The sequence below is a fragment of the Homo sapiens genome, chromosome 6, assembly GCF_000001405.40.
Source record: "Homo sapiens chromosome 6, GRCh38.p14 Primary Assembly".
Lineage (NCBI taxonomy): Eukaryota > Metazoa > Chordata > Mammalia > Primates > Hominidae > Homo > Homo sapiens.
In genome coordinates, this window is record NC_000006.12 from 96,191,877 (window position 1) to 96,203,081 (window position 11,205).

At 36.3% G+C, this 11,205-nt stretch overlaps 1 protein-coding gene and 1 long non-coding RNA gene across 7 annotated transcripts in view; one reads left to right on the forward strand and one right to left on the reverse strand.

The window, feature by feature from the left end:
* Positions 1 to 11,205, forward strand: part of FUT9 (fucosyltransferase 9) — a 199,639-nt gene that overhangs the window by 175,903 nt on the left and 12,531 nt on the right. The window lies entirely within an intron of this gene.
* Positions 8,467 to 11,205, reverse strand: part of UFL1-AS1 (UFL1 antisense RNA 1) — a 321,372-nt gene continuing 318,633 nt past the window's right edge. Inside the window, exons 3-4 of the long non-coding RNA XR_007059687.1 lie at positions 11,030 to 11,139; positions 8,467 to 8,577 (exon numbers count right to left, since the gene is read on the reverse strand). This is a non-coding gene — a long non-coding RNA (UFL1 antisense RNA 1). The remainder of the gene's footprint in view (positions 8,578 to 11,029; positions 11,140 to 11,205) is intronic.

The window sequence follows — 11,205 nt, forward strand, 5'->3', positions numbered from 1 at the left end:
GGGATGCAAGGCTGGTTCAACATACACAAATCAATAAACATAATCCAGCATATAAACAGAACCAAAGACAAAAACCACATGATTATCTCAATAGATGCAGAAAAGGCCTTTGACAAAATTCAACAGCCCTTCATGCAAAAAACTCTCAATAAATTAGGTATTCAGTGGACGTATCTCAAAATAATAAGAGCTATTTATGACAAACCCACAGCCAACATCACACTGAATGGGCAAAAACTGGAAGCATTCCCTTTGAAAACTGGCACAAGACAGAGATGCCCTCTCTCACCACTCCTATTCAACATAGTGTTAGAAGTTCTGGTCAGGGCAATCAGGCAGGAGAAAGAAATAAAGGGTATTCAATTAGGAAAAGAGGAAGTCAAATTGTCACTGTTTGCAGATGACATGATTGTATATTTAGAAAACCCCATCATCTCAACCTAAAATCTCCTTAAGCTGATAGCAACTTCAGCAAAGTCTCAGGATACAAAATCAATGTGCAAAAATCACAAGCATTCCTATACACCAATAACTGACAAACAGAGAGCGAAATCATGAGTGAACTCCCATTCACAATTGCTTCAAACAGAATAAAATACCTAGGAATCCAACTTACGAGGGATGTGAAGGACCTCTTCAAGGACAACTACAAACCACTGCTTGACGAAATAAAAGAGGACACAAACAAATGGAAGAACATTCGATGCTCATGGACAGGAAGAATCAATATCGTGAAAATGGCCATACTGTCCAAGGTAATTTATAGATTCAATGCCATCCCTGTCAAGCTACCAATGACTTTCTTCACAGAGTTGGAAAAAACTACTTTAAAGTTCATATGGAACCAAAAAAGAGCCTGCATCACCAAGTCAATCCTAAGCCAAAAGAACAAAGCTGGAGGCATCACACTACCTGACTTCAAACTATAATACAAGGCTACAGTAAACAAAACAGCATGGTACTGGTACCAAAACAGAGATATAGACCAATGGAATAGAACAGAGCCCTCCGAAATAATGCTGCATATCTACAACTATCTAATCTTTGACAAACCTGACAAAAACAAGCAATGGGGAAAGGATTCCCTATTTAATAAATGGTGCTGGGAAAACTGGCTAGCCATATGAAGAAACCTGAAACGGGATCCCTTCCTTACACTTTATACAAAAATTAATTCAAGATGGATTAAAGACTTAAATGTTAGACCTAAAACCATAAAAACCCTAGAAGAAAACCTAGACAATACCATTCAGGACATAGGCATGGGCAAGGACTTCATGTCTAAAACACCAAAAGCAATGGCAACAAAAGCCAAAATAGACAAATGGGATCTAATTAAACTAAAGAGCTTCTGCACAGCCAAAGAAACTACCATCAGAGTGAACAGGCAACCTAAAGAATGGGAAAATTTTTTGCAATCTACTCATCTGACAAAGGGCTAATATCCAGAATCTACAAAGAACTCAATCAAATTTACAAGAAAAAAACAAACAACCCCATCAGAAAGTGGGCGAAGGATGTGAACAGACACTTCTCAAAAGAAGACATTTATGCAGCCAAAAAACAGATGAAAAAATGCTCATCATCACTGGCCATCAGAGAAATGCAAATCAAAACAACAATGAGATACCATCTCACACCAGTTAGAATGGCAATCATGAAAAAATCAGGAAACAACAAGTGCTGGCGAGGATGTGGAGAAATAGGAACACTTTTACACTGTTGGTGGGACTGTAAACTAGTTCAACCGTTGTGGAAGACAGTGTGGCGATTCCTCAAGGATCTAGAACTGGAAATACCATTTGACCTGGCAATCCTGTTACTGGGTTTATACCGAAAGGATTATAAATCATGCTGCTATAAAGACACATGCACATGTATGTTTATTGTGGCACTATTCACAATAGCAAAGACTTGGAACCAACCCAAATGTTGATCAATGATAGACTGGATTAAGAGAATGTGGCACATATACACCATGGAATACTATGCAGCCATAAAAAAGGATGAGTTCATGTCCTTTGTAGGGACATGGATGAAGTTGGAAACCATCATTCTCAGCGAACTATCGCAAGGGCGAAAAACCAAACACTGCATGTTCTCACTCATAGGTGGGAATTGAACAATGAGAACACTTGGATACAGGAAGGGGAACATCACACACCAGGGCCTGTAGTAGTGTCAGGGGAGAGGGGAGGGATAGCATTAGGAGATATACCTAATGTAAATGACAAGTTAATGGGTGCAGCACACCAACATGGCACATGTGTACATAGGTAACAAACCTGCATGTTGTGCACATGTACCCTAGAACTTAAAGTATAATAATAAAAAATAAAATTTAGTGTACGTCAGAACTACTTGGAGGGCTCGCCAAAGCATGTTGCTAGGCCTCTTTCCAAAGTTTCTGATTTCATATGTCTGGGTTCTGGTAGAAGAATTTGCCTTTCTAACAGGATCCCAGATGTTGCTGATGCTGCTGATCTAGTGCCATCCTTTGAGGACTACTGATCTACTCTACTGTGAACAAATTGAAAGGATCAAAAGGGAGCACTAGGTGGACCACTTAGAAAGAAATGTCCGTCTTCCATACAAGAATTGATAGACATTTGACCTAGGGAAATGGAGAGAAGTCTACTAATATAAGGAATATTTAGGAGGTAAAATTGGCAGGAGTCGATGCTAGGTTAGGTGTGGATATGAAGGAAAAGACGATGTCAAGATGTCACTGGGTTAGTTGCCCTACCTTATCATCTAGAATGAAGACATTCTCATTTATAAAGTCCAAAAGGCTAGTAATCTATCAGCCCAAAATGAGAGTTTTGGATTTTTTTTTTTTTTAATCTGTTGGCTGCAAGGGACTAAACCTGACAATAATCACAGAAGTGCTGGTGCTGACAGCTAAGTTATAAAAGACTGCTGGCCTCAAAGGGTGCTGGAAAGCTTGTTCTGAAAAAATGCCAGCAAGGCACCTCCTGGCCCTGTCTGTGGTATTTCCCAAAGGCACGTGGAGCATGAGCCAGGTTACATTTGGGCTCAGTGTCAGATCTCATGGCTCTAGCCACAGCTGAAGCCAGTAAATAGAGCTTCTAAAGTTAATAAAGACAGTGATGAAGGACTAGTGATTGAGTAGAGAGGAGAGAGAGCAGATGAAAGATCAAACTAAAAGAGGCTAATCCCTGAATTTGTAAAGAAAATTTCGAAGAGAGAGACAGTAGAAGGTGCCCAAAATAAAGAAATTTGCAGTACAGGAAAAGCGGTAGTTGGCAGCTCTCTTGCCAGTAGAAACAAACGTCTGAGGCAAAAATGAAGGAAGAAGAAAGAATTTTAAAAAGACATGCATTGGACTGTCTAAAGACAAACCCACTGCAGAAATGAATCAGGGATTTATTATTACCAGAGAGAGTTCTGAGGAATATTTAGGAAAAGTGTTGGTGATCAAAATTGGTGTCATTTGGTGGCAACTTCCTCAGGGCTTGAGGAAATAAAACAAAGGCTTACCCTTGGAAATACCAGGGATTATATATAAGGATCTTTGAGAAAGGTTCACAAACACAAATTTTATAGCATTCCGGAGATCAACCAGTGTCTTCGTGCCAAAAAGTAAAGGGCATTTTTCCCAAAGGCAAGAGGCATTTGGCTCAGAATTTAATGGAGAAAATTGTGGGAACTTAGAGGAGGAATGCCCATTAGAGAGGTTCAATAGAATTTGAAGTTTCAAGGGAATTTTTGAAAGCGCAGTGATGAATATATAAAGTTTTATAGGACTTTGAGACAGAATATAATTTGGTGTATAATAGCTAAAGCGTAAAGCTTTTGTTTTTAATCTTGCACGTGTTCTTAGCATAAAAATTGTAGCCAGGAGTAAAAGCAAAATAAAACAATAACCAAAAAAAACTAAAAAGATAAGCCACCCAATTTAAATTATAAGCATTCATGTAGTATTCAGATTTTTGCAGAATCCTGTACTAATACTATGATAGTGAAGATCACAATGATTATATGGGGAGCAAATTATTCTTTGAACCTGCATAAACAGATTACTAATAGTTGAGAATCAGATAACACCAATGGCTTATATAAAATAAAGAGATTTCTTTGTATTTTTAAGAATTTACATATAGTGTTGTTGTGGGGTGTTTTGGCTTATTTGAAAATACAGATAATTATGGATATATTTTGAAGGATTCAAGATACATACTTTGGATCCTGGAATATTAGGGGAAGAAGACGGGGAAGCGATTGCCAGTGTGGGAATAGAGAGGTGGTGATCTCTTTCCTCCCCATCATAAGGGTCATGGCCAGCAACCCTCTAACAAAGACAGATTAATAGAAGAATAGTCTAATATAATAGATGGATTAATTTAAAAATTAATAACAGCATAAGAAACTTATTTGATCATAGCTTTATGCTACATGGGAGCCTTCAGAATTAAGACTCGAAGACTTAAGGTGAACTATTCATTTTTATGCTTGGGATTAATGAAGAATGGACAGTCATATGGAAATGTGATTGGGCAAAAATGATCTGACCTAATAATAATAAACAAAGGAGGGACGGGCGCAGTGGCTCACGCCTGTAACCCTGGCACTTTGGGAGGTTGAGGCGGGCAGATCATGAGGTCAGGAGATCGCGATCATCCCAGCCAACATGGTGAAACCCCATCTCTACTAAAAATACAAAAATTAGCTGGTCGTGGTGGTGTGTACCTGTAATCCCAGCTACTTGGGAGGCTGAGGCAGGAGAATCGTTTGAACCCGGAAGGCAGAGGTTACAGTGAGCTGACATCACACCACTGCACTCCGGCCTGGTGACAGAGTGAGACTCCATCTCAAAAAAATAAAATAAAATAAAATAACAAAGGGGAGAAATCCAGCAAGACCAGTCTGTTAAGATTCTTCTTGGCTTCTCTTTAGCATTCCTTCCTTCTGGTAAGAGGCAAGATCTTCTCTGGAATGCAGGTCTTATGACCTACAATCAAATAAGGTAGGTCAGAAAATTTCATGGCCAGTTCTTACACGGAAAGATGGGTGAAAGTTGTAGTAATATTTTTAGGTTTTATTAGTGGCCTTGGAGGAAAAGGGTTCTTGTTTCTATGACTGCCTTGGGAAAGAGGGATTCTAGTTTCTACTGCTTGCTTTAGGAGATAATGAGTGGTGAAAGACAGGAGAGCAGTAGAAAGTCAGACAGAAACTTTGTTTCTGAGGCTGCTTCTGAGGCCTTTGCTAACTTGTAGCTCTCTTGCCAGTAGAAACAAATGTCTGAGGCAAAAATGAAAGAAGAAAAAAGAATTTTAAAAAGACATGCGTTGGACTGTCTAAAGAGAAACCCACTGCAGAAATGAATCAGGGACTTATTATTACCAGAGAGAGTTCTGAGGAATATTTAGGAAAAGTGCTGGTGATCAAAATTGGTGTCATTTGGTGGCAACTTCCTCAGGGCTTGAGGAAATAAAACAAAGGCTTACCCTTGGAAATACCAGGGATTATATCTAAGGATCTTTGAGAAAGGTTCACAAACACAAATTTTATAGCATTCCAGAGATCAACCAGTGTCTTCATGCCAAAAGTAAATGGCATTTCTCCCAAATTCACCCTTCAATTTGTCAGTGATTCATTTCTTGTCTTTGGAGTTGGTATGAATTTATCTTGAAGATCCACAGGTTGATCTAAAGTTCTGTTCAAATGGTCTATGTATTTCACATATTTTTACCAGCTATCAAAAAATCTCATTAGGAATGGTTTAATAGTACACATACACAAAAAAATAGTAAATGTACTATACAGTGACTGTCAAATGTCCTGATCCAACAAGTCCTAATGGCATAAGGGAAAATCTCTTCCAACCCCAACATCCTGCTAATGATGTTGGGATAGGGGAGGTGGGTTGAAGAGGTAGGTAGTGGCTGCAATCTGGGAATAATGCCCCAAGTCACAAATTACAAGCTCAGCTATCCTGTTCCATCTCCACATTTTAAGCAAGTATTGAACTTTGTTCTATAGCATGCTCCTGTTTCTTTCCATTTAAAATAAGGATTCAATACCTACCTCCACCAAAAATCAAAACTTACAGTAGGACTGCCTCTCCATGAGGGAGCCTCCTGTTCTCCTTAGTTACACATTTTTCTCCCTAATACCTTGATATGTATCTGTGGTTGGAGAATTACAACTCTAATCTTTTTCTATTTCAAGTTATCTTCCATTCTTTAACATTCAGTAGAGTGTTCTTTTTTTTTCCTTTTTTTTTATTATTATTGTACTTTAAGTTTTAGGGTACATGTGCACAATGTGCAGGTTAGTTACATATGTATACATGTGCCATGCTGCTGCGCTGCACCCACTAACTCGTCATCTAGCATTAGGTATATCTCCCAATGCTATCCCTCCCACCTCCCCCCACCCCACAACAGTCCCCAGAGTGTGATGTTCCCCTTCCTTTCTCCATGTGTTCTCATTGTTCAATTCCCATCTATGAGTGAGAATATGCAGTGTTTGGTTTTTTGTTCTTGCAATAGTTTACTGAGAATGATGATTTCCAATTTCATTCATGTCCCTACAAAGGACATGAACTCATCCTTTTTTATGGCTGCATAGTATTCCATGGTGTATATGTGCCACATTTTCTTAATCCAGTCTATCATTGTTGGACATTTGGGTTGGTTCCAAGTCTTTGCTATTGCGAATAATGCCGCAATAAACATACGTGTGCATGTGTCTTTATAGCAGCATGATTTACAGTCCTTTGGGTATATACCCAGTAATGCGATGGCTGGGTCAAATGGTATTTCTAGTTCCAGATCCCTGAGGAATCGCCACACTGACTTCCACAATGGTTGAACTAGTTTACAGTCCCACCAGCAGTGTAAAAGTGTTCCTATTTCTCCACATCCTCTCCAGCACCTGTTGTTTCCTGACTTTTTAATGATTGCCATTCTAACTGGTGTGAGATGGTATCTCATTGTGGTTTTGATTTGCATTTCTCTGATGGTCAGTGATGGTGAGCATTTTTTCATGTGTTTTTTGGCTGCATAAATGTCTTCTTTTGAGAAGTGTCTGTTCGTGTCCAGTAGAGTGTTCTTAAAGAACGACTGGAGGTAATCTCTTAACAGAAAATTGAATCATGCATACCAAGTCTTGTTAAGCAGCACTTTTAACCCAGATTCTGTTATTTTTTATGGTAAAGTCTTTAAGTTACATTCTCTCATAGTACTTGAAACTACTAAAAATAATTGAAAAGGTTTAATTATCCTATTTACTGTTACAATTTGCTTTGTGCTATATGTTTATTGCTATCTCTGGTGAGCTATAGTAACACTGCTGCAGGTGTTTTTAAAATAGGTAGTATTGATTATCAGTATAAGACATGTTAAGTATCCAACTGAATTTTAGTCATGAGGAATAGGTGAAAAGGATTCTGTCAAGGAGATGTCAATTTGGCCCCAAGAGGCAAACTTTTTTTGACAGTTCCGTACAAAGTAGAGGTTACTGAGTAACTGCCCCTATTATTTAGTAACTGACCCTGACAGCACTGAAAAATTGAGGGGAGGGGGTGAGCAGAGAGTTAAGAAGGATAACCTCAAGTTATATAAAATATCCAGGAAGCATGAAAACTGGAAACCACACAGTAGAAGAAACGTCGTTTCTGTCTAGTGATCAATTCCTCGTTTGGCTAATGAGAGAGAGAGAGAGACTGAGACATGGAACTAAAATGTTCTGGATAGATGCTAACTTTGAGACAAAACAGAGAGGCAAAACTGGGAGATTTTGCTCTTCTAGTGGTAGGAATAGCCATATGCCAATTTTAATGGGAGTAATTCCATAGAGAGCTCCATGCTAAATGCACAGAGGAAGAAACAAAGTACGTATTCATTCATTCACATTTGGCTAATTTTTGTATATCTGGTTACCTACCAAGCACAGTACTTGTACATAGTTGAGATGCAGCAATTCACCCATTTATTCATATGAGACATACAGCATTTATTAAGCATCTACTACATTCTGGTGATAAGGATACAGCAGTGAAGAAAACAAAGCCCCTCACAAAGCTTACATTCTGGTATCACTAAAATGATTGCATATTCTGGCTGCAACCTGGGGAATCAGTGATCTAAAATGTTAATTATCAAGTGCCCAGATTCTAAAGCCAGGTGGCCTGGGCTTGAAAAGTATTTTGTGCCATTAACTCTCTGTGTGGTTTTGGACAAGTCACTTAATCATTTTGGGCCTCAGTTTCTTTATCAATAAAATGGGGATATAATGAGTTAATAGGTGTGTGTGTGTATAAGTTAATATAAGTGCTCAGATCAGTGTTTGACACTAATAAGTGCCATATATATGTGTCAGATACCCTTGTTAAAAGAAATTAATCTAAATTCAACTCATCGTTAAATAGTTCTTAATTACAGAATAAAAGGTAGAGACCAGGGAAATCAAGACAACAAAACTTGAGATACCAATAGCAAATGGATTATTCACGTTTGTATTATTTGTTCAAAGTAGATTACAGAAGGAAAGAGAGAGCACAATCCAGTGGTTAAGCTGGTTACTTGTATCTGTGGCCTGCAATTTCCTCATCTGTGAAGGGATGAGAAAAGGTGTCCTTTTTAGGGGTTCTAGAAGGATTAAAGGAAATGATGTGTGTAAAATGCTTGGCACAAGGCCTGGCTAAGGGTGAGCATTTATTAAATGGTGGCTATTTCATTTATAACCTGATTATATTGAACTGACATCATTTATTTAATGGTTTTTGCCATTGCATTTCAGTTCAAAAAGGATTTAAGGAAACTTTTAATCAGAGTATTTCTAAAAACATTAAACATTGGTCTCACAGGAAGAAAACACTGCAACAGTCAGTCAAATCATTCATATTAAAAGTTAATGTTTTTCCAATGAAAAGAGACCCTTTCAGTAAGGTTTTTCAGTCTGTAAGTTCTGGAGTCTAGATGGAATTGAGAGATTGTCCAATTAAATTTATACTTAGGATCAAATGCAACTAAACTTCCATAAACGTACTCTTGAATCACATCACGATCTATTTCTAATATTTATTATTGCTGAATTTTTGTATTTTTGCATCTGTGTTCATAAGCACAAATGACTTTTTTTTTTTAAACAAAGTCATATCTTGCTTGGGTAACAAGATTATAATTGACCTCATGAGCTAAGCTTCTTTCTTAATTTTTGTATTTTCCAAAATAATTTTTAAAAAAGGTGGATGGTATTCCTAATTTATTGAATTGTTGATATCATAGGAAAACCATTTAGACCTAGTATTTGCCTTTAGTTGTTGTTGTTTATGAATTCCATTTCTTTAACTGTTAACTGCTGAATCAGAATTTTTCTTTCACAAATATTGGTATTTCTGTATTTGTACAAAAATACAACTATTTAGTCATATTTCAAATTTTTCAACATAAAATTACTCAAAATAGTTACTTCAATTTTTATCTATGCTAAATCAACAATTATTTGCTATTTTTGGTATTACATTTGAATTTCTTTTTTCTTCATTATTCTTGCCTAAAGTTTGAGTATTTTCAAATATTGTGACATTATTACTCATTTCAAATTTCTGGCCCTTACCTTAACATTTTTCCTTCTTATTTTTTTAGCATTTTACCATTTTTCTTTGTATAGCTTCTTGAGTTGACCGATTTGTTAATTTTCTGAAATGTGTGCAAAGCTATAATTTCCTTCTGTTTAAATATACAACAAAATTTGGCTTGTAGAACCTTCAGTGTCATTTAATGTCATTTAATTCTGAATAACTGAAATTTCCTTCATAATTCTTTCCTGATTTTCTCTGTATTCCAAGGATTGATTAATAATTTAGCACCTAGACATATTTGATATGTATCTTTTGTTTTCATTTTCTTATTGACTATAGAACTGAAACCAACTTTGACAGGAAGCTGCAATCTCTGATTCCAATACCTTAGTTCTGGGAGTGATCTAGAATGCAGTGTCCAAAATCTTTGGACTCACAGTCAAGCTTTGCTACTCAGAGAGTCTCATATGCTTTAAGAAAAACTACATAGCAAAAGAAGGTGCTTTTTTTAATGTTCACATATATTTAGGTAATTAAATGAAGGATAATTTCTCCCGTTTTTTGGAAGGAAACATCTAATGTTTCTATGCTAGTTTCTGTCAAAATTTCAAAATACTTTAATGAGTCTGAAATTTATAGGCCATATTATTTTCGTAAGAGAAGCAACATGAATTTCAAATGACCCGTGAGAATTTTATCAATAAACAGTTTTTGCAAATATATTTTTGTGTTCATAGCCATAAAGAGGCATGAATGCCGAAGAGAAAAAAACTTGAAAACACTTTTTTCTTTAAAAAAAAAGCCTTCACTCATCTTTTTAGCCACAATCTGCTAAAATTCATGACATCAAAGTTGTTCTTCATGAAATATAGCCCTTTTTTGAGAATTTGTTTATTTTTATAATACCGATATCATCTTAATACAAAGAAAAACTTTTTTAAAGCCCTTAGGCTATGTAAGTGAGAACGTTTTTCCAATGCAAATAGAACATTTGATTATTACATCTTGGTAGATATTGGATGTACTAACAAATTATTAAAAGTAAACAAAGAAAACTGTAAGAAAAATATATAAATAAAAACAAAACACTGTGAGTTTTGAATTTATAAAATTTGCCTGAGTGTACTTGTTTTTTAAAAATGTATCAAATCAAGAGTTGCCATTTTTTTACCAGATGATTATACTAATGCATTTGCAAACTGTGAAGGTAAATTTATAACGAGAAAAACAAAAACATAACGTTTTTAAAAACAGTTTAGTTTTCTAACGAATTCCATCTGAACCACAAAGTTATGGTACAGTCTCAATATGCGAGTAAATAAGTGATTATATCAACTGGGAGATGTTCACAAATCTGATGTGGTTACAAAATACTAAAAATTTTAGTCATGGCTTTAGCGATGACAGTCTAGGTTGTGCCACTTTTCTACAAGCAAATAAAAGTAGAACAGTTAAGGATAGCATTGAAAAAAACGTTACTTGGTTTGAAGATATGCTGGTACTTTTAGAAGAGTTTTTGGGAAACTTCCTTTTGAAAGCTGTTTCTTGGCTTTGAGGAAAGTTCTGTTTCTCTCAATGGTTTGATAACACTGAAAAGGAAAATGCAGTTGATTACTACTTGTTTATCTCATATTTATGATTTTAAATATATCTCC